Raw genomic sequence first — 24378 nt, 5'->3', positions numbered from 1 at the left:
CCCACGGATATTGTTTCTAATTACAACGTGGGAGAGGAGGACATGACACGCGATATCCCAGGGAGTGGAAACACCCCTGTGATACTGTTCTTAATATTCAGGGAGGAAGAGGATGATATGACTCCCAATACAGACGGGTGTACACCCTCTGTCCAAGGTGTACACCCTCTGTATACAACCGTCGGTGAAACAGTTCATAATCTCCAGCGGGGGAGATGACATTGCACACAATCTTGTAAACAGGGTGTGAGTCCACCGCGGATCCTAAGAGCCAGGGAGGCAAGAGGGGCTGGCTCTTACTCCCCGCATCGCGGGGGGCGCCTCGCCCCCCTGCGATGGGGTCCTGAAAGAGCCAGGGGGGGAAGAAGAGCCAGGGGGGAAGTGGGGGATGATATTACTCCCCGCATCGGGGGGGGGGGGCGTCCGCCCCCCTGCGATGTGGATGGTCATATCCAGGGTGGGAGTGGGGGGTGATATTACTCCCCGAATCGCGGTGGCACCCGCCCCCATGCGATATGGATCTTCATATCCCGGGGGGGAGTGGCGGTTGATAATTTCACAAGGTGTGCACCCACTGTGACATTAAAAGTGACATTTCCCTAGAATATGACGACAATATCACAGAGTGTACACCCTCTGTGATATGAGGAGTGACATCTTATGGGATAATACGAGTAATTTGACAAGCTGTACAAACCCTGTGACATAAGGGGTGACATCCCTCTAGGACATTATGAATAATATCCAAAGGAACATACCCCGTGTGACAATAAAACAACCTCCCCTTAGGAGAATAAGAATAATACCGCAAGGTGTACACACAATGTGACATTATTATTAAGGTAAAGCTAGGATATTGGGAAAAACATCACAATGTACAGAGTCCTGTGACATCAGGTTTAACATTCCCCTAGAAAATTACGAATAATATTGACGGGTGTATACCCCCTGCGACTTTAGTAGCCATATCCTGCTAGAATATGGAAGATAATGTCCCAGGGTGTGAACCGAGGGAGGCACTATAGAAAGGATCCGAGGAAAAATCGGGGAGTAATATCACTCCCCTCTCCCCCACTGGATATTACGATCCATATCGCAGGGGCGCGGAAGCCCCCCTCGATGCGGGGAGTAATATCACCCGCCTCTCCCCCCTGGATATTAAGATCCACATCGCATGGGGGCGGGCCCCCCTTCGATTCGGGGAGTAATATCACCCCCCAATCCCACCATGGATATGACGATCCACAACGCAGGGAGGCGGGGGCACCCCCCCGCCGTGCGGGCAGTAATATCACCCCCCACTACCCCCCCCGATATGGCCTTCCGCATCACAGAGGGGCGAGGCGCCCCCCGCGATGCGGGGAGTAACAGCCACCCCCCTCTCCCCCCCTGGCTCTTACGATCCACGGTGGACTCTCTGCCTGTTTATGATATTGTGAGTAATATCATCTCCCCCTGTGGAAATTATGAGCTATTTCACAGACGGGTGTACACCGTCTGTATTGGGAGTAATATCAGCCTCTTCCTCCCTGAATATGAAGAACAGCATCACAGGGGTGTTTCTACTCCCTGCGATATTGGGTGTCATATCCTCCTCTCCCACGTTGAAATTAGAAACAATATCAGTGGGGCGTGTCCACCTGCTGTGATATTTAAAGTGATATCATCCTCTTCCCTCCAGGATCATGGGAACAATATCCCTGGGGGTTGTGCACTTTCTGCGATATATGAAGTAAGATCACCGCCTCCGCCTTGGAATATTATTAAGGACCATCTCACACGGGGTTGTACAGTTCCTGGGATACTGGGAGTAATATCAACCTCTCGGCCTCTGAATATTAGGAACAATATCACAGGGTGGGTGTACACCTCCTGCTCTATTATGGGGAGTCATATCTATCTATTATGAGGAGTAATACCATCGTCTCCCTTTCAGGATATTAATAACAATATCACAGAGTGAGTGAACACAGCCTGCGATGCTGGAATTATTATCTTCCTCTCCCTCTCAGATACTAGGAACAATATCACAGAAGAGTTGTACACTCCCTGCGATATTGGGAGTAATATCATACGCTTCTTCCATGAATATTAGGAGGAATATCACCGGGTGGCTGTACATTCATTGCTATGTTGGGAGTCATGTCATACTCTACCCCCTGGATATTAGGATCAGTGTCACAGGGTGAGTGTACATCTACTGCGATATTAAAACTAATATCATGCCCTCCATCCCTGGATATTAGGAGCAATATCACAGGTAGGTGTACACCCCCTGCGGTATTAGGAGTAATAATATCATTAATTATTAAACATCAGTCTTAATAATAATTATCAATGGTAATATTAATTAATAGTATAACGTTATTAATAATTAATGATTATTTTAAATATGTTTCTGCATGCTTAAAATTAATTATTGCTATTAATGTAATTTTTCAATAGTATTAGTTATTAATCTTAATAGTAATTATTGTTTTATTACCAACATCACTTATGATTGATTTAAGTGACAATTCCTGATATCATTATTTTATTATTAATAGTGATATTGCTATTAATTATTAATAGTAATCGTTAATATTTTTAATCAGTCTTAACTTTTACTATCTCTATTGTAATTATTAATATCGATGATTACTATTATTATATTTATTAATATTAATAATTAATATGACTGTTCCCGATATCCGTGGGGGAGACGATATTACTCCTAATATCGCAGAAAGTGTACACCCCTCTATGATGTTACTCCTAATAGGGGGTAGAGGATGACATTATTGAAAATAGCGCAGTGGGTGTACATCCCTTCGGTCATCTTGTTCCTAATATCCTGGGTGGGAGCGGATGATGGGACTCCCAATAACGCAGGGGGCGGAGACCTCCCTCCTGATACTGTCCCTAACATCCAAAGGTGGAGAGGATGATATTTCTTCCAATTTCGCCGGGGGTGCACACCACCCTTGTGATATTGATCCTAATCTCCAGGCGGCGAGAGGATGATATTAGTCTCAATATTGCAGGTGTACACTCCCTAGGGATATTGTTCCTAATATCCAGGGACCGAGAGGATGATATCACTCCCAATATAGCAGGGGGTGTACACCCCTTCCGTGACATTGTTCCTAATAGCCAGCAGGGGAGAGGGAGATATTACCCCCAGTATCGCAGGGGGTGTACACCCCTTCCGTGACATTGTTCCTAATAGCCAGCAGGGGAGAGGAAGATATTACCCTCTGTATCGCAGGGGGTGTACACCCCCTTGTGACATTGTTCCTTATATCCTGGGAGGGAGAGGAAGATACTAGCGACAACGTCGCAGGGGCTGTACACACCCCCTGTGATATTGTTCCGAATATCCCGAGGGGGAGAAAATGATATTACTCTCAATATCGCAGGGAATGTACATCTTCCTGTGATATTGTTTCTTATATTCAGGGGGAGAGGATGATATTACTCCCAATATCGCAGGGGTTGTACACACCTCCTGCGATATTGTTCCTGATATCCTGAAGGGGAGAGCATAATATTACTCTCAATATCACAAGGGGTGTACACATCCTTTGGAATATTGTTCTTAATATCCACAATGGGAGAGGATGATATTACTCCCAATATCGCAAGAAGTGTACAGCCACCTCTGGTATAGTTCCTCATATCTAGGTGGAGAGAGGATGATATTACTACCCATATCGCACGAGTTGTAAAACCCTTTCGATATTTTGCCTACAATCCCGAGGGGAGTGGATGATACTACTCCCAATATCGAAGAAGGTGTACAGCCCCGTGACATTATTCCCAATATCCACGTTGGGAGACTATGACGTTACGCCCAATATCGCAGGGGATGTACATCCACCCTGGGATATGGTTCCTTATATCGAGAAGGGGAGAGGATGATACTACTCTCAATATCGCAGGGGCTGTACACCCCTCCTGTGATATTGTTCTTCATATCCTAGGAAAAAGAGGATGATACTACACCCAATACCGCGGGGGGTGTTCACCCACCTCCTTAAGATATTGTTCTTAATGTACTCCACCTCCCCCCACCAGGGATATTGTTCCTCATATCCAGGGAAAGAGAGGATAACACTATGCCCAATGTCGCTGGGCGTGTACACACACCCTCTGTGATGTTGTTCCTAGTATCCAAAGGTAGAGACGATGATATTACTGGCCATATCGCAGGGGGCGTACACCCTTCTGTGATATTGTTTTTGATATTCAAGGGGGGAGAGGATAACATTAGTCCCAATATAGCAGAAGTTGTACAGACCCCCGTGATATAGTTCCTAATGTACAGGGAAAAGAGAATAATATTACTCTTAATATCGCAGGGAGTGTAACCCCCCCGCCCCCCGTATATTGTTCCTAATATGCAGCGGGGTAGAGGCTGATATTACTCCCAATATCGCAGAAGGTGCACACACACCTGTGATATAGTTCCTAACATCCAGCGGGAAACAGACTGATATTACTCTGGATCTCGCAGTGGGGGTACACCTGGCATCCCGGCACAGGTGAAGAAGTTTCACTCACTGCTTGAGTCAACATTTATTGGGCACCCTTTCTATGTGGCATTGTGCTAGTTCCTCAGGATGAAGCTGAGAATGAGGGAGATACGGCTTCTGCCCTCATGAAGTTTATACATCCTGGTGCATTTTTTATTTCATGAAAGCTAAAACTCTGCCGACCCTCAATTTCTAAAGGCCTGGATCTTCTTCATCATAGAAAATCTATTCTGGGCCAGGTGCTGTGGCTGACGCTTGTAATCTCAGCACTTTAGGAGACTGACGCCGGCGGATTGCTTGAGCTTAGGAGTTCAAGACCAGCCTGGGCAACATGGTGAAACCCCATCTCTACAAAAAGTGCAAAAATTAGCTGAGCATGGTGACACATGCCTGTGGTCCCAGCTACTCAGGAAGCTGAGGTGGGATGATTGCCTAAGCCGGAGAGGTTGAGTCCAGTTAGCCCAGATCGCGCCACTGCTCTCCAGCCTGGTCCACAGAGTGAGACCCTGTTCAAAAAAAAAAAAAAAAAGAAAAGAAAAGAAAGAAAAGAAAAGAAAAGAAAAATTCTATTCTGGATTTTGAATTAGGGTGGCTTTGGTGGGGAGGGCTTTGTGACTGCAAATACCAAAACCCAAAAGGAAAATCAGCGATGCAGGTCCCAGGCAGCTGAAAACAGCATCTAGTGGCTCCAATTTTAAAAATCCATCTACCATCTTCCCCCTGTTTTTGGGGGGAAAGCTTTCCCTTAGCTCTCTAGCATTCTCCTCATGCTATCCCAGTATTCTGTGTTCTGGAAAAGAAATTCACTTCTAAAAGCAAAGCTCTATTTTCAGCCCATTCAGGTATCTTCATTTTTGGTAGCATCTCTTGGTGCTGAGCAAAAGCACAGAAGCTTGGCCCTTTGATGTTCCCCACAACACACCTTCTACACCTTGGAGGCTGTGGGAGGAGCAAGAAATATTTGTCTTTGAACCTCTGAGTTGCCCTTCAGAGGTTCTCACTGAAGATGAATGATGAGAATAAAAATGGCAACAATCTATGTGAAGCTTTGCTACAGCCCCTCCTGGGAAGCACCTACTTCTCTGCCAGCATGAATTTATTACTGACAGATGCCATCAACACCCTAGCAAAAAGCAAATTTTTAACAATATTCTCTCAGACACGGGGTTTTGGAAAGTTCTCTTTGCATCTGAAATTCTAATGAAGGGGATGAAGAGAAAGAGCTCAAATAGGCAGAGGGTTGCCTTGGGAAATGGGCAGGGTGGTCTGGAACTGGCACAGCTAGCTCCCAAGGGTGGTCAAAGAATGAATGGGTGCATCAGAACCCTCGGCCTTACCCTCAGAGGTTCTCATCAGTAGATGTGGGCTAAGGCCCGGAAATAAATCTATTTATTTATTTAGCTTTAGCAAAGCTCCTCTGGAGCTTCCAAGAATCATTTAAGTTTATAAACCCTAGAACTAGGGGCTAGACTGATCAACAATCTCCTGGTTAGCCTCTCCTGCCTTCCTGACTACAAAACTCCCTGCCCTGTGTGTCTCCAACCCCTCCCTCTGAACACCAGCCTCAGGTTTGGTCTTTCACTCCACTTTTTGTCATTAGCCCCTAGAGGCCTGTGGCTGAAACTGGAGTCAGCCCCAGCCCCAGTGCCAGGTGGAGCAATTGACTTGGGCCATTTCAGCAAAGGCTTTGGGTTACCAGACACCCATCTGCTGGCTGTTCTCGCCAAAGAAACGGGAGTCAGATCACTCTCACTGGGTGTCAACCCCACGCGTCCCCGTGTGCAGAGAGGAAGAGGATCCGCCTCACCTTCTGGCGCCTTCACTACAAACAGCTCCCAGACGGCTCCCCAAAGCCTTCTCCTGAATAGCCTAACATCTCCCAGAAGAGCCTGAGTGTGTTGTCAGAAAGAGCCCACTCCAAAGGAACATCAGCCTCCCTCTTCCATTCCATCTCCTGGCTGGGCGCCCACGTCCTCTATTCATTCAAGACAAATATAACAGCCCACTCCTCAAAATAGAGACCGAACACCCACTCATCCCCACTTCCTTCCATTTGTTGGTGCTTTTCTCTTTATGGCTTCCAGGAACCCAGGGTTATTAACAGGAGTCTATGCTAGTGACCAAAATAGTTTTTATCTTCTTGTTATAAAAAGGAACTTTTTATTTTTATCCAACACATCTACACAACTTAAAAGTTAAATATAATACAAAGCCTCAAACAAACAACAAAAAAAGCAGTTTTCTCTTCCTTCTTTCCCCGAACAGTAACACTTTCAACTCTTGAAGTGTTTTTAGCAGAAATGCATTAACCTCTATATTTCTAAGTAATAGTCATATTTGTGTACTGTTTCTTTATGCTTTTTCAATTTGGGACATTATCAACTTCCTACTGTGGAAAATGACAATATAGCACTTTTACACACATTTACTCTTCTCAGACTATCCACATAGATTTTCCCTTCTTTTCCCATATTTATGTTATATTTGTAACTTTTAATTTGTTTAACTTGTAACTTTTAAAGTTATAATGTAACTTTTAATATATTGACATTATAATAGTGTTTACATTACGATTGTACAAGTCTTGTTCATTGTTAACCCATGTATTATACTATGATTATATGTTTTTCTTCAACATTTTGTTCTCAGAGTTAATAACCTCCTCTTTTTGCTTGCTCAGTTATTCTACGTAGGCATCAGCAACTTTTCCCACTTTCGTCAAAGAACTGTAAAACCTCTCTCTTTTTCTAAAAAGTCTGTGGAAGGTTTTATGGTCTTTTCTTTATCTTTAGTATTTAACATTGTATGATGTTGTGTCCTGGATTGGTCTTTATTCCTCATTTTCTAGGCGTTGCTTGCATTGTTTTTGTTTGTTTGTTTTTCCGGTTTGCAAATGCATGGCTTTCAGTTCTGAGGAATTTCCTTGTAAGATTTTTTCCTCTATTTTTTTCTGTGTACATAAGCTGCCTCCCTGTCTCTATGTAGGCATGTATGTAACATTTGCCCCCTAGATGTTGGGAATCTCTCATTTCCTATCCTTTCTGTTGTCCATCTCGTTGTCTTTTTGTTCTGCTTTCTGAGAGATTTCCTTTATCTTCCAGTTCTACCACTGGAACATTTATTCTGGCTATTATATTTTGAAGAGCTCATAATTCTCTCTATCTGTATAGCAATCCTCTCCAATTTTCTGAGTGCAATATTTTCTATCTCTCTGACAATATTATTATGAGGTTGTTTTCTCCAAAAGTTTTTTTACTTTCTGCATAATCTCTGCTTTTTTTTTTTCCTGAGAAGATGGAGTTCTGCTTTTTCTTTTTTTTTTTTTTTAAAGGCAAATTCCCTTTCCCCTCTTTTCTTTAATACTCCCTTCTTCAGAGTTACCAATGGTTTAGTTAGTGGGATGTCTTTCAAGGTCATTTTTCAGGCACTTACATTTAAACATACACATATAATTATGTATCTTCTGTTTTTTCATACTACACTAGTGAACTGCATCTTGTCTTTCTTTTTGTACATAACAAATGCTGAAGATATTTTAATGTCTGTGCATCTGAACCATTTATTATTTTTAACTCCTTTATTATTTTTAACTCCATAATAAGATTGTGCCAATATTTATTTGACACCTAGATTGTATAACATGTTTCTCTTTTCAAATCAATACTCTTAAATTTTTATGTTTATTTCTATAGGATAAATATTTAGAAATCAAATCGTTGAGTTGCAAGGTAATTTTATTCAAAATTTTGGTAGAAACTACCAAATCGTCCTACAAAAATGCAGTATTAATTTACACTATGATAAAAAATTATGAAGGTATCTATTTCTTCACACTCTTACAAACACTAGATATTATCAATCATTTTAACTTGTCAGTTTGATAGACAAAAAAATCAGTATATTAATGTTTGGTTAACTTGTTACTGGTAAGGTTGAACAGCTTTTCCCACATTTATAAGCTGTTTTAAAATTTTTCCTCTGTGAATTGCCCATGCATAGATCCCTCTAATATTTCTACTGTGTTGTTTGGGAGTTTGCAGAATCTCTTAATATGCTATAGACCCAATTATTTGTATTTGTAAAAGTTGTAGATATTTTCCCCATGTCACCTATCTTCAGGTAATGGTATAAAGAGTTTTTCAGCCTTTTTTTGATTTCAAATTTATCAAATTTTTTGTGTGACTTGGGAGTAATGTGTGGATTTTAGGGAAGTTTCCCCGCCCTAAACTTTCTCTATTGCCCTCTAATACTTTGATAGTTTTAATTTTTAAGTATTTAGCTATTTATTTTTGTGTAAGGTAAAAGACTGAGATTTAATTTTATTTTTCAAAAGAAAGCTAATTTTTTCAGCATTAACTATTGCATAATCCACCTTTCCCTCTATGATTTGAAATGCTGTGTGTTTTATATACTCAGTTCCCATTTGTAGATTCGTCTGTTCCTGGATTCTTTGTCTGTTACATTGCTCTAAATCAGGGATTGGCAAACCACAGCCTGTGAGCTAAATCCAGCCTGCTGCCTGTTTTTTGTAAATAAAGTTTTATTGGAACACAGCCATGCTCATTTGTTTACATATTGACGATGGCTGCTTTCAGGCTGCAGTGGCAGTGTTAAAGTAGTTGCAACAGAGACGGTATGATGGCAAAGTCCAAAATATTTACTCTTTGGTCCTTTATGGGAAAACTTTGCCAGTCCTTGCCCTAAATGGCTATTGTTGTGTTAGTATCGTTAATAACAGGAGCCCTATAGTGTGTTTGCATCTGGAAAGGTAAATACCTCCTCATTGGGTCTATATTTCAAAATATTCTTGGCTAGTCCTTGTAATGTCTTTGGGGTCAATTTTACATTTAGTTTGATTATTGGTATGGCTGGGTTTGAATGTACCAGTTTTCTATTTTTTTACTTGCCCTATTTGTTTTCGACCCTTTTTCCCTTTTTGTGTGCCTTCTTTTCAGTTTATTATTTTCTTATTCTACTTTATCACTTATGCCTCTTTGTTTCATTTATTTATTTATTTATTTATTTATTTATTTATTTATTTTTGAGATGGAGTCTCGCTCTGTCGCCCAGGCTGGAGTGCAGTGGCACAATCTTGGCTCACTGCAAGCTCCGCTTCCGGGGATCACGCCATTCTCCTGCCTCAGCCTCCTGAGTAGCTGGGACTACAGGTGTCCGCCACCACGCCCGGCTAATTTTTTTTTTTTTTTTTTGTATTTTTAGTAGAGACGGGGTTTCATCATGTTAGCCAGGATGGTCTTGATCTCCTGACCTCGTGATCCTCCCGCCTGAGCCTCCCAAAGTGCTGGGATTACAGGTGTGAGCCACCGTGCCTGGCTGCCTCTTTGCTTTATTTCTAGTGGTTGTTCTAGAGTTTATAGTATACATCTTTAAACTATCATAGTCCATCTTTAAGTAATATTATACCATTTCAAATATAGCATAAGAAACCTACAACAGTATACTTTCATTTTTTTCTTTCTGCTATTGTGGTGAGACATTTTACTTTTTACATATGTCACAAACCCCACAATGCATTGTTTTTATTTTTGCTTTAAATAGTTGATTATTTTGTAAAGAGATTTAAAATATTTTTTAAAACTTTTGTATTTGCCCACAAGTTACCATTTCTGGGGCTCTTCATTCTTTGTGTAGATGTAGTTTTTTTAATCTGGCTTTTTTTTTTTTTTCTTGGCCTAAAAGACTTCCATTAACATTCCTTGTGCAGCTCTGGTGTTGAATTCTTTCAGCTTTTGTATGCGTGAGAAAGGTTTTATTTCATCTTTGTTTTTGAAAGAGATTTTTGCTAGGTATAAAATTCTAAGTGGATAGCATTTTTCTTTCAATATTTAAAAAGGCTGGTTGCTTTTTAAGCTTTGTTAGGCAGGACCGGAGCAACACCCTTGAGTCCTTTATGAGGTGTCCCATGTATTACAAGGCTTTTTCATTCTACTTGGTGGGGACTGAAACTGTTCTTGGCCTTACATGAGCTCCAGGGATGGTTTTGTTCTTTTCTCCTGGCTCACTCCCTGCCTCGGTGCTTTCCTCACAGGTACTTGCAGATCAGCACTGAGCTGAAGGCTGGAGGGGAACCTTCTGCGGATCTTCATGGCCTTCCCCTTCACTCTGCACAGCTCTTTCTCTGGTACTCTGCCCTGTGAACTCTGGCCACCTTGGCCTACCTAAATTCTCAACTCTGCCTTCTCAATTCAGGGAGACTTCTGGGATCCATTTAATTTCCTCCTGTCTGTGCTGTGGCCTGGGAACACTCAGGCTGTCAGATGAGGCATTGATCATGCTCACCTTGTTTAGTTTCCTTCTCTGGGGGCTACTCTACTGCTCTACCTATTGTCAAATGTCTAAAAAACATTTTTTATTCATATTTTTTCTATTTTTAATTATTTAAGGTGGGAGGGTAAAAGTAATACCCATCTTTCCGTCATGGCTGAAATGTTTTATTTGGGATTTTGATTGGAATTGATGGGAAAACTTGACACTTATATCATTCTTTCCTTTTAGGAATAGGGTATATCAATTTGTTTCAGTCTTCTTTGAAATCCTCCCATGGACTTTATGGTCTTACACATTCCTATTGATGTTGCATTTAAAGGCCCCAATACAGGCTCGTTACCTTCTCTCTTAAAGCCTGTTATTCCTACTCTAGCAATTCAGCAGTAGAGTCTAAAGAAGACCCTGGGGCCTCTGCTCCTTAGAGTAGCTCCTAGACCTATCCTCTTCCACCTCTGCAGGTCAGGAGAAAAGGGCCTGTTCTAGCCTACTCTTTCATGATGGCAGAGCAGCCTGAGCAGCTCTGGACTAGAGGGTGTGGATGAGAAAACAGTGGATGCATCCCTCATGGAACTCCAAGGGAAAACTGGCTAAGAGCTGCTTCATCTTGGCATGGCTTGCCTGAAGCTTTCTTCTACTGTTATCCATAGTAGGGCATGAATGTACTATGAGAAGTAAAACCGGAAGATTGAACTACTGGTCTACAGGGGGTATATCATCTCTATCTGGTTGTGGGGTCACTCCACCTACCTTATTTATGTTGTGGGCCTGCCTCTTTGACAGATGATTACTAATACACAGAAAAAAAAGTCATCTCTAATAATATCTCTGTGTTGAACAGGCATTTATGAGCTAGTTAGGGAGGCTGGGGACGTGTGTTCTAAATGTCAAACAACCAATTTAGAAGCAAATTTGGAACTGAGTCTTCCTTCCTAAGTTGGGAACTATCTGTTCTTATGAAATCCATCTTGCAGTAATGACAGTAATAAATTGAGGATCCCTCAGCTGACTACAGTTGACACCAGATGGGTAAACACCCATCCTAAGTAATGAGTTGGTTAATTATAGCTGTGCCATGTTCATAGACCTTCAATTAGTCTCTTGAGAATATATAACTTTATCCCCTACAATGGCTCATAGCATCTGAGCAGGACTTCTCAGAGGTCAGACTTCTCCATTAATTCAAAATACATGTCTTCAGAACCTAAGGGCTGGGTGGAATTTAGCTTACTTATTTTCATTATTCCTCTGTGTGGGGATCAGCTTGTATAAAGCACTAGAGAAATGACAAGGCAAATACAAGAATGATAGGGAGGAGATTTTTAAATATTTTACCATACTCACATTATCCCCACCCTCATACTTAGCCAGTCATATGTAACACCCTGATCTCTAGAATGTGGGTGTATTCAGACTTTCTGAAATGGTGAGTTGACTGCCCCACTCAAACACTGGTCCACTCTCTGACAGCTTTATTGGCAAAAGAAAACGTCATTCTAACAAAATGCAATATACCCAGACACTCTGGAGACCCGATCCATCCTAACTGTAGATCATACCAGTTCAGGAGCAGATAGCCTGCCTGGTCTATATGGCTCGGGCTCATGTTATAGACCCATGGGTTGCAACCCTGATGCACATTAGCATCACTTGTGGAACTACCCTGAGACCAAATATATCAGAAGCTTTGGGCTGGGACCCAGACTATACTGTTTTAAACTCTCTAGGTCATTCTAACATGCAGTCAGGTTTGAGAACCACTGCCATAGACTAGAGCAGTTGTAGCCATTGTGCCAATTTTTAACACTCAACAAATTTATCGAGTGGATTTTAATTCATATTATAAAGTAGTACTTAACTCTAGTCTTCCCAAGGACTTTGCCAAGTAAGGGAAGATTGCCTACTTCTCTGGTTGTATTTAGTTTAGGAGATGACAACCTTCTGTTTGTGTGTAACACAGTCCCTTGGTTCTGCTTTTGAATGTTTTCCTTTTTTCTTTGCTACAACACCCTCAGTTCAGACCCTCATCACCTTCCAACTGTCTCCCCACCTTTTGTTAGCATGGCTCTCATTATTTCTCTCAAGCCCCAAACACACGTCTCTTCCTTTTATAGCTCCGTTCTGTCCAGAAAAAACTCAGTGTCCTCATTTGGGCGTCCAAGGCTTTCATGGCTAGATTGGAGCATGATTACTCAAGCCAAAAGGCCCCTTGAGGTTCTTGCAGGTCCCTTGACTGACCACTGTTATCTCCACCTTCTAAGCTTTTGCCTGGATAGTTTGCCCCTTACTCCATCCTGCCAGAAGTCCCCATGCAAATAAAATTGCCTTTCCAGTAAAAGCTTCTCTGATCTTCCTGCCTCCCATTCCCCACCTCCCAGGTCTTTACTGCCTCTTGGCCAAAGCAATGCCTATATAAGCCCTCTATATAGTCTGGCACACAGTAGATGCTCAAAAAAATTACGAAGTTAGCAAATAAATTTCATTTATCCGCTATCAAAATTGGAGTCTGTCTTCCCTATTAGGCTCTGATCTTTCTTTAAGGGCAGTGGGTAACAACTGTATACAGTATAAAAAAAAAAAGCAAGGCTTTTGGAGAAAAGTTTGGGTTTAAAACTCTGCTTTACCACTCACTAGCTGTAGAGTCGTGGGCAAGTTTAACTGTTTCCTCAGCTGTGAAATGCGAGTGACAGACAACTCCTTGAAGGGTTGTGAGGATTAGACACGGTGTTTGTACTATTAGATGCATAGTAGGTACCAAGTATTTTCTTTCCTGGACTCCAAATCACAATTTATCAGACACTGCAAAATTCGTAACACTTGACTAGAAAACTTGTTTTGGACCGTGTGAATCCAAATGGCTCTGTTTCACAAAAGTTAAATGTCAGATTTGACAGCCCTCCTTTTCCCACCTAGTCATCAGGGGCATACTCAACCATTACCTTATCTAATTCTCCAAACAGTCCTTTAAATTATTAACTCCATTTTTTGGCCAAGAGAAGTGGCGCAAAGAGAAGGTAATGGATTTCCCTTCAGAAAAAGAGCTGGGGCTTTTCGGAATGCTGTTGACTCTCAACTCTGGGCTCTTTCCTTAATGCCATGCTGCCCTCACGTTCAGCTTTGTGAATGCATGCTTTTAAATGCAACCATTTGTTTATTTTATAATTAAACCAACAGTCCAATGATGACGGTTTTCAGGTTTAAGTTACTTATTTTGGTTAAAATATTTCCTTTTAAAGGAGAGTTTTTTTCAGCTCCATAATTTGAACTCAACAGTGGCTGACTACCACAAACTCCTGGAAGCTTGATTCCTTCACATCTGCAACTAAGAATAATAATAGTACCTGCCTTCTGGGGATATGAGGATTAAATGACTGAACACATGAAATCTGAATACATGTGAAACTGGGTCTGGCACATGGTAGTACTCAGCATCAGTTATTACCATCGTCACCACCAGGACTGTTTTACTTGGAATTCTATCACATGGAACCTTGTTGTCCTTTACTGTGCTCCATTACAGCAAAGAACATGAAGAAAACACTGTCACTCCTTAATGCTTCTCGCTTGAGAGCTCTAATAATCAAAAAGGCAATTTAAAGGCAAAAAAGTAACTTTATTGACTGCTAATCTTACCATGAAATATCTATAAGAAATAATTACAAAATAATGCAGGTTTCTTTTTACATACTTTTGGTATCATCTTGATATGATGATCCTTTCACAGAAAGGATTATTTACAGTTTATGTAGATATAAAGCTCACTGTTGCATATACAAATGTAGATGTGCAGAGGCAATATATACCAAAACGGGTATACTGACAAGCGATAGATATGTAAGAAATGCAGAATAAATAACAGCTTTATATATTTCCTTTCCTTTTTATTTTTAAAAACAATTTCCAAATACAAAACATGGATTATTCAAAGTGGATTTTTCCTATACATATATATAATTCTGCTGCAAACAGTGGATCAAAAAGCAGAAGTGTTCTTAGCATGATTCATCTTTGAAAACCCATAGAACTATTCATAAATCCAATTAGAAAGAACATGTGCAAAACCACCAACAATGTCAGCAAAACCTCAAAGATCTGATTTTGGTTGAAGTAGAGAGAAAATAAACATAAAGCAGTACCTGTTTACAGTAATTAAATATGTTTTTTCTTTATCTTTCTTTCTTAAATATGTCTTTTTTTAAATGTTTGCAAGAAACTCTAAGGGCTAAGGAAATGCACTGCATTATGATCTGGGCTCCTTAGAGTACAAACCTCACCAGGCTTAAGCATCATCCATAAGAAATGGTGGATTACTTAATGACTTATAAGTAAAACAGTCATTAAATGATCCTTTCATACTTTAATCCTCTTATGCAGAGACTGAGATACTTCCATACATTCCAATATCTGCAACTTTGGTTCTATTAAAGTATTTGATAAAAGCAAAACAATTTTGTGACCACAGAACTCTATGGAACTTTTTTTCCTTTTAAAGTGTCAGGTGAACCTAGCGTGATAAGGCAATGTTGCCTACACATCCGCGACCCAGCACAGGAGGGACAGCACAGACAGGGCATGTTCCAGCTCACCATTTGTTGTATAATACTGACTCCCAGCCAGGGGTAACACTGCTTATGTTCCACTGTACCCTACATCTATTTCGTTACCTGAAAACATAATTTTGTATAAAAATATGATTGTTTCTTTAGAAAATAATATATAGTTTTTTTAATAAAACTGGGCAGATAGAAAAAAATGGTATATCAAAATATGGTAAACAAATGTTGTAAAATACTAAATCATTAAAAATATCTTATAGAAAGACATTGTGCTATGAAGTTCTCTCCTGAAGTGTGAACTACGTTTTTACTTTACATCAAAAGATTGATAAATTCACTCCCCTGACTTGGTTTCATTATATATTGTAACAGCAGCACAACAGGTAACTGTCTTAAAAATGGCCCTTTCTCATACACTACGTCTTCTGTACACTTTTACTTCAAAATTAACAAGACACCCCCAGGATCAGTGGTTTTCAACTTTGTTGCATATTAGCTCCATCTGGAGAACTTTAAAAGAAAAGGCAATTCTACTTGGGTCCCGCCACAAGAGAATGATGTAATCGGTCTGGTGGGAGACTCAGTCATTATTTTTTAAAAGCTCCCCCCAAAATTCTGTTATACAATCAGTGTTGAGAATCATGGCCAAAGGCACATGAGAAAACAGTCATTCTGAACTCTACATATATCAACTGACTGTCTGCAGGTATCATTCACTCAGTGACATATTCTCAATCTTAAGGAATTCCATGTATAAAAGATAGTCATGGAAGCCAAAATGAAGACATAGTAAGCTTTAAACACATATAGACATACACAATCCCATGTATTTATATATGTATAATATATACACAGAGTATTTTGGTTAAGCAGAAACTAGCATTGCCATAATTTGTTCTTGATAATTAAACAAATAAAGCATCACCAAGCACCAACGTTTTCTAAGACATTTTCCAAAGTTTTAACAGACACTGGTTTTGTAAACTCCACAAAATGCATTACAACATGAATATAATTCATCTGTTACTTGGATGTGGAACTCAAATGAATCCTGGAGCTTTCTGGAAGATCACAAAAGAGGACATGGCACTGAGCGGGATGAAGGAGTCACAGGCATCACAGCATGCACTTCTGGTTTTCTGCTTATTGCTTATGTGCTTCTGTCACATACGTATCTTTGGCTTGCTACAACCTTATGATTTTGACCACTCCATCAGTGTTCACTTTGGGACAGCCTCAGGGAGGAAGCAATGGGTATACAGAGCAATCATCTCTCTGTTAAAAGAAGAGAGAATCTTCCCTCTTTCCTCTCCCAAACTATGAGCATTTTATGTGGGAGTGGTAAAAAATTTATAAGCAAACAAATCTAACATCTTTCACGTGATAAAAAAATGTGATGTTACATGTAACTGAACTAAAAAGCATCAGATGAGCAAACACACCACACTCCAATATTCTGAAGGCTTTGCAATCAGTAAAGCGCATTTCCTTCTGAAGGATCAGTGAACTTCCGGGCACTTGTCTTGCTGTACATTTTCTGTAGTTCTTTTACTTCTGTGTAATACTTAAAGTGCAATTGTTCCAAGGCTTTTGTTTCCATCATCACAAATATTATAAAGAAAGAGCTATGTTTAGGGTGAAGAAGATATGGCACAAGTAATATGTAAAGAACTTATGACTTTCGCATCCTCTAGCAAACAGTAAGCTGCCTGTACAGCTGCACACAGACGGACTTTACACAACAAACTCTGGAACTTCATCATGAGTGAGATCCAGAGAAAAGTATTTGCTGGTTCTTTTGACTGGAAAAGCATCTTGGATGTTGATGCACTGCTGGGCCAAGCAACTGTTGCAATAGAGGCCTTCCTCATCCAGTTCATGGCCACATCCAAAGGTGTAACTCTGAGCAGTGTCCTGACACAGACCTGCAATGCGCAGGAAGTCTTTCTGGTAAAGTCTGATGTCATCGAGGCTCAAGCTGTGTCGATCAGTGGAGGTCTTTGGTTTCCGACATATAGTCTGCAAGATAAGGGAAGGATGAAACAACTTTAAAGTGAAAGGTTAGAATATTTGCCTTGTAAAGAGAGATGCTACAGAACCACAAAAGGTTAAGTAATCCTTACATGTTAGAAAGTGGTTTCCAATCTGTGGTTTCTGGGCTGTATGGGGAAATATATCATCAACACCACCTCCATCAGTAATAATAGCAGCTAACATTTACCGAGCAATTACTATGTGCCAGGCCCTGACCTAAATACTCGGCATGCATTAACTCATTTAATCTTCCTAACAGTCCTAGGAAGCAGGCACTATCATTCTCCTCATTTTACAAATAATCCAAAGCACAGAGGTGCAAATACAACAGGAATCCAACTATCCCTAGCATTTCAGAAATCAAGTAATTATCTTGAAATAAGGTCATATAGGTAAAGACATGGCTTCCTTTTTTTTTTTCAGTAGGATATGGCAATTCAGACCTTTTAGGCCAAGGTCTGTTATTATTTTATTAAGAAATAGGAAAATAAACCAATTATTACCAAGAAACACAGTTTTTCTCTTTAAAAGGCCAGAATTCTTGGGTTGAATATAAAGTGTTCTTGGTGCTGGGTAGGATATAGGGTGTTCTTGGTGTTGAAGAGGCTGGGAGGCAGGCACCAGGACTAAGTTCCCGAACACGAGTCGGGGGTGGGGGGGTTCCGCCAAATGCTGTACACAGCAGGGGGCAGACTTTTTTTTATTATCCCAAGAGGTGGTATTAGAAATAGGTTAAAAATGATTCTGATAATTATATGAATGGAAGATATGCAATGGGTTATTTAAGGAAACCAGGTATTATATCTTTAAATTTTGCTGCTTCCCACCACAAAGGACAACCCTGTTAGAATAAGATACAATTTTTGCTAGAGGCAAAAGTTCCAGAAGCATGTTTTACTAGGAAGTGTCACATCCGAGTGATCCCTTGTGCTGATGCTGTCTTCCCAGACTCCAACAGGATTTCACACATAGAATCATTTGGTCATCCCCACAAACTCTCAAGGAAGGCACACAAAGTTCTCCCCATAGTGTAGGTGTGGAATCTGACTATCAGCTGTGCCCCAGAAACATCTCTTAAGAGTAGATTACTCATTGCAGTTTTCAGGAAAATATTTCATAAACATCATTTTCACATTATGGTTACTTCAACGCAAGTAAGAGAAAGAAAAGACAAATGAGAAAAAAGGGAGGAAAGAGGAAGAGAAAAGTAGGGACAAGGAGAGCCAGAATGCAAATGAAAAAAGAGAAACACACACAGAAGGGAAAAAAACAAGACACAAAGAGAGCCCAAGAAAGAAAGGCAGGAGGAGGGAGGAAGTGCTCAGGAATTAGGGCCATTAGTCATACATTACATCCAAATGCTGAAACCATGAGTTTCAGAGTATTTTATCTATATTGCTGGACATTTAATAGTTTAACCAATGATCACAGGTTGTCAAATGCTCTAGGCTCAGCATACTTTGAAAATTCAATCTGAATGGAATAACCAGAGTGTGGAAACATTTCTGCCAGAACACACTGACAAAAAATATTATTCTCCCAGGTTGAGGACAAGCAACACACACAGACACATGCATGTGCACACGTGGTTCGCCTGAAGCCTGAAGAACAGAGGCTTCCCAACCATATAAAATGTGAAGCAAAATCTATAACTTATCTAAGTAAAAATCAACTCAAAGATAAGCAGAACTAGCAAATAAGATGGAAATAAATTCAGAATAAAGCTAGAATGTACGTATCTAGGAAGGATCATTTCCTTAGGGTTTTTAATTTTTGCTCATTTGTATAAATGTAAGTTACTACTTAAAATTTTCTATAACTTCAGTTTCCTAACTGATATTTTTCAATTCCTTTAATACCTGTGGAAGAGAATCAGTACTCTGGCCACGAAGCTTAACAACTGTTTCTGAAGAGCTCGAGGTGGAAGACCCAATTTCTTTCACAATCAACCCTGAAATAAAACACAGAGATAAAAACAATAAATACTTCAAATTATTCACACCTCTTGCCATATATTCTGACATATTGCTATCAGGAATGAAAAATCAAATATTAACCATTACCAAAAAGTTTCACTGTGACTCTTTGGTGGCAGACAACCAGAACAGCACACACACTCTCTCTCATCTTACAGTAAATAGAGGTTAATGAGTCAAAGTAGGGTTAGAGTGTAAGAAGATGTTTAGTCTGAATTTTCTAAAACAAACTTCTAATTAAGCTATTTATGATGAAGTTATAGAAAAGAAGCAAAGACTATAGGTATAAAGCAGCCTCTTTACTGCATCTCATAAAGCTTCCCCTCTTCCCCTTTCTATTCAGCAGCAACATTAAACTTAACCCTTACTGAACACATGCCTTCTAGATTTGGTTCGGCTTGGATGTATAGTGGTGAATTGTGGGGGCTCTGGCCTCTGAAGTCAGATAGATCTGGCTGGATCCTGGCCCAGATAACTAATTAGCCATGTGTCCTGGCCAGTTACTTAGCCTCCCAGTGTCTCAGTCTCCTTCTCGTATAAAATCGGGCCAATAACAGCACCTGCCTGCTAGTTTTAATAATTACACAGTGAATGCATAAAAGGGTGAGGTACAGGGACTATACATGGATACACTCAGTTCACAGCAGCTCTTTTTGGGTGATGGGACACTTGGCACATACCTCCTGCAGCAGATCCCCCTGGGAGGAGACAAACTGGGAGGCCACAGTGAAAATTCAGTACTGGGTCTTTGAGAACAACAGAGCACCTAACCTAAGCACTTTAGCACTCGGTGGAAACCCGCCAAAATTTCAGAAGCAGAAATCCAGGGCTGACATTTCCCTATGTGACTGGCATATGAGTGAAGCACTGAGTAGAAACATGTCTCAGAAGGTAAAATTACCAATAAGAACTAGAGGTGTAAGTGAACACCGCTGAAATTTTTCTTGCCAATGGATGAAGCAAGTGTACTACAGGTCAAGCCCTAGATCCATAAGGCCAAATGGCTTCTTAAAAAAAAAAAACAAAAAACCCTTTAAGTAATGTGATTCTTATTCAACTACTGCTAGTAGTCTACAGAATGACTTGTGTTCTATCCCTTAACTCTTTAGAAACATCTCATAATGACTCAGTGTCTAGCATATGCCATAAACATATTAAGTATTCAATAATTAGTTCAATTGAAACATGAAATATGAAGACATTACTGGTTTACAAGTAGACACTTTAAAAACTCAGGGGATACTCATGTTTTAGGAGTTAGTACAAATGGCTTTAGTAGAGGATCTAGAACGATCTTTATCTTCTAAAGAGCATTAAACCTTTAAACAAGTTGTCATGGTTCCTTTTCGATTTCCTGGTAAATGTGCCCTCAGCTATCATGCCTGTAAAGAGTATTCTCCAAACTCAGACCCACCACTGGAAAAGTCAACACCGAGCTGATGCTCAAAACACTTAACCAACTCCTATCAAACTCTGTAAGAATGAAAGACAGTGTGGTATACTTCATCACTACTCAATCTTAGCTGAGTGTTTTTTTTTTTTTTAAAGATATGGAACACTTCACAAATTTGCATGTCATCCTTGCCCAGGGGCCATGCTAATCTTCTCTGTATCACTGCAACTTTAGTGTATGTGCTGCCAAGGCGAGTACTTAGCTGAATGTTTTATAAGCAACGTTTAAATGCTCAAATTAATAGAGAATTTAGAAAACTAAGATGATGTAAGAAAGAAAATAAAATCATCTATATCTATAACCCTAACATCCAAATAAAAGGCTATTAATAGTTTTACGTTTTTAAAATACACAAATAAATATTCTTGTTTTTAATTAGATGACATTTTATATAATTTTTACTATTTACCTTAACTATCCTTCTTATGTTATTAAATATTGTTTGAAAATCTCGAATTTAATGGTTATATACCATTGTATGAATAAGGTATAATTTAACCACTTGTTCTTTTTCTTTTTTTTTTTTTTGACAGAGTCTCACTCTTTTGCCCAGGATGGAGTACAGTGACACAATCTTGGGTCACTGCAACCTCTGCCTCCTGGGTTCAAGCGATTCTCCTGCCCCAGCCACCCATGTAGCTGGGATTACAGGCCTGCAGCTAATTTTTTTTTTTTGCATTTTAGTAGAGATGGGGTTTCACCACGTTGGCCAGGCTGATCTCCAACTCCTGACCTCAGGTGATCCACCCACCTTGGCCTCCCAAAGTGCTGGGATTATACGTGTGAGCCACCACACCTGGCCTTACCACTCATTCTTTAATTATTTTTATAACATTTCAACAAACTTTTTTTATATATAAATCTTCTTAAACAGCCAGGCTTTTTACTTAAATTTTATTTCTATTTAAAATTAACAGTCTTATAAAAATTAAATGCAGAAATATATAAACGCAAAGTCCAGGTCAGCTTCCCTCATACCTCCCTTCCCAAAGGCACTGCGGCATACACAGTTTTTAGACCATTTCCTTTCCACAAGCATAAACACACAGAGCTATATACATGGACCTATAATGTGCATATAATTGTGAATTTAAATTAAAATGTAATTATAGGAGAAAATTCAATATCATAAAGTACATGGGCAAAAAGGGGCAAAGTTTGGTATATGAACTCTAAGCATGTTTAGGGTAAGCAGCCTAATGAGTCAGTGTTGGTCAGAGAGATGATTCCCTGCAGCTACAGGCAGGTCTGGGAAGCCAGGGTTCTGTTGGGTTAGCGAACAGAATTCTGAAATAAAAGATGCCTCCTGCTCTTGAAGACTAAGTGCCAGGATGGTAGTGACTGTGTATCGGTCTGGTTCCTCTCTGATTTCCAGTGCCTGGCACCTGGAGGAGGAGGCTCGATGAACATCAGGAGCTGTGGATTTGCCAGAGCAGGGACAGGCTACCTCAGTCAGGCCCTTCATTCAATCAAAGCTGGAAGGGGCCATTTCAATAGTGCTGGTTCCTGAGGCATATTTCTCTAAAGAACAGACTGATTCATGATGTGTGACAAAAGCAGTTAGATCTGACTGATGTCTATAAACAAAACTGATACTGCTGCCGTTTTTTAAAGATAGTATCTTACATGTAACAGAAATATATATGATGTATTATATAACTATAGGGAATGCATGTTTTCTACAGGAATTCATACGAATATGGAATTTAAGAGTGTCTTTTTAGGTCAACCCATTTTGACACTTTTCCTCCCAGACTCCTCTACCAGTATAACACAGTGGGAAAAACAAAAAACAAAAAAACCCCAAAAACCTGGAGGCCTACTTCTGTTTCTAGCCATGTTGGATTTGTCCTCTTTGAACTATAGGTTAACTTATCTGTAAAAAGGAGGCCAGACTGAAGGGGTCTACAAGGCCTTCCAGATACATTATATGATTCTCGACACAGCATAACATAAAGAGAACCCTACTGTTCAACTACCTTTTGTCCAAAGCATGGAGCACAAAATGCTAATTCCCAGTCCTGGGTGTTTCTCCTCTTCCCTGCCTTCCACAGAAGGCACAGGATCCTGCAGTTTACAACACTGACCTGAAGAGACTCTTAGTGCAGTCCAGTCTCTGGTCTAGGGCCCCCAGCTCACCCCTTCTATTTTCTGAGGCATGTGTTTTTCAGTCCTGGATAACCTGCTACCAAGGAAGAATAACTTCCCGTAAGAGCTCACCAGAGTGTCCATTCAGCTTCCGCGACATGAGCATGTCCTCTGTGATGTAGATGCACATGTCTGGGCTGACTTCCAGAGACTCTTCATTCATCTGCTCCAGATCCCGGGGGTCATCAACCAACATCTCTATTTCTGACACAGAAGAAGGAAAAGATAGTTAATGACAAAAAGGGAAATGACCATCATAATATGCAACCATATTTTGAGGGTGGCTATGTAATTATTCCTATTTGAAAATAAATTTGCTAATGAGACTCCAATAGGAAACTCCAGGGACCATTTTCAACAGGTACTACTTGTTTACTCCTTCCCTCCTTCCCTCCTTCCTTCCTCCCTTCCTTCCTCCCTCCCTTCCTCCCTCCCTTCCTTCCTTCCTTCCTTCCTTCCTGGGACCATTTTCAACAGGTACTACTTGTTCCTTCCTTCCTTCCTTCCCTCCCTCCCTCCCTCTCTTTCTTTCTCAATTTCTTTCTTTTTGAGACGAAGTCTCACTCTGTCACCAGGCTGGAGTGGTGTGATCTCCGCTCACTGCAACCTCCGCCTCCTGGGTTCAAGCGATTCTCCTGCCTCAGCCTCCCGAGTAGCTGGGACTGAAGACGCGCGCCACTACGCCCATCCAATTTTTGTATTTTTAGCAGAGATGAGGTTTCATCATGTTGGCCAGAATGGCCTTGATCTCTTGACCTCGTGATCCGCCTGCCTTGGCCTCCCAAAGTGCCAGGATTACAAGTGTGAGCCACCATGCCTGGCCTACTTGTTCTTTCTTATCGGATTGCTGCATTACCTATATGTGTTTTAATACTATAATTTGCCCATTATTCTGTATTTTTTAAGAAGAAAAACTATACCACCTTGCTGCAATGACAAAGGACAAACCGAAACTGATGGGCCCTTTGCCTGATACCAAAGCAAGGCTCACTGACACAGGCAGATGACAGTTCACAAAGCCCCCCATGTCCATAGCTGCCTATTCTGAAGGGCACTGAGTGACTTGAGAGCCACACAAATTCTACAGAAACCAAAAAGATGGTCTGCACTTTTCTTTAACAAAGTCTATCTTTTCCGTCAAGCCTGAATGCTACAGCACTTATTTGAGACAGAAAAATAATATAAAAGAGGGACACAAATGTTAAGTTTGGCTAAGATAAGCCATAGGATTCATCTTATCTCCTTAACATGCAGTAAGTTCCTATCAACCAGGTGCTATATTTCTTTTATCCTCCCTATAGTTCTGGTTACATGGGAGGCGCTTCAGAAAAACATTACTAAGTAACTCAATGGCATGGACTCCAATCTTTACTTTGTGGGGAGGGGTCCAGAAGTTCAAGATGTTTCTGTCA

General features: G+C 40.4%; 1 protein-coding gene and 1 pseudogene across 32 annotated transcripts in view; both read right to left on the bottom strand.

Moving 5' to 3' along the window:
- Positions 1 to 14391: 14391 nt before the first annotated feature.
- Positions 14392 to 24378, bottom strand: part of FRMD6 (FERM domain containing 6) — a 334297-nt gene continuing 324310 nt past the window's right edge. For 26 of the 32 annotated variants that reach the window (XM_047430922.1, XM_047430931.1, XM_047430926.1 and 23 more), the window contains 3 exons: positions 23039 to 23170; positions 19249 to 19340; positions 14392 to 17374 (listed from right to left, as the gene is read on the bottom strand). In XM_047430922.1, coding sequence (XP_047286878.1) covers positions 17090 to 17374; positions 19249 to 19340; positions 23039 to 23170 — 509 coding nt within the window. In that variant the 3' untranslated portion in view covers positions 14392 to 17089. Of the gene's footprint in view, positions 17515 to 19248; positions 19341 to 23038; positions 23171 to 24378 lie in introns of all 32 variants that reach the window. The other 6 variants (XM_047430938.1, XM_017020967.2, XM_017020968.3 and 3 more) reach the window with 2 other exon arrangements.
- On the bottom strand, positions 20911 to 21016 carry RNU6-301P (RNA, U6 small nuclear 301, pseudogene; annotated as a pseudogene).

The sequence above is a fragment of the Homo sapiens genome, chromosome 14 (assembly GCF_000001405.40).
Source record: "Homo sapiens chromosome 14, GRCh38.p14 Primary Assembly".
Lineage (NCBI taxonomy): Eukaryota > Metazoa > Chordata > Mammalia > Primates > Hominidae > Homo > Homo sapiens.
This window is presented reverse-complemented; position numbering and strand designations above follow the sequence as displayed.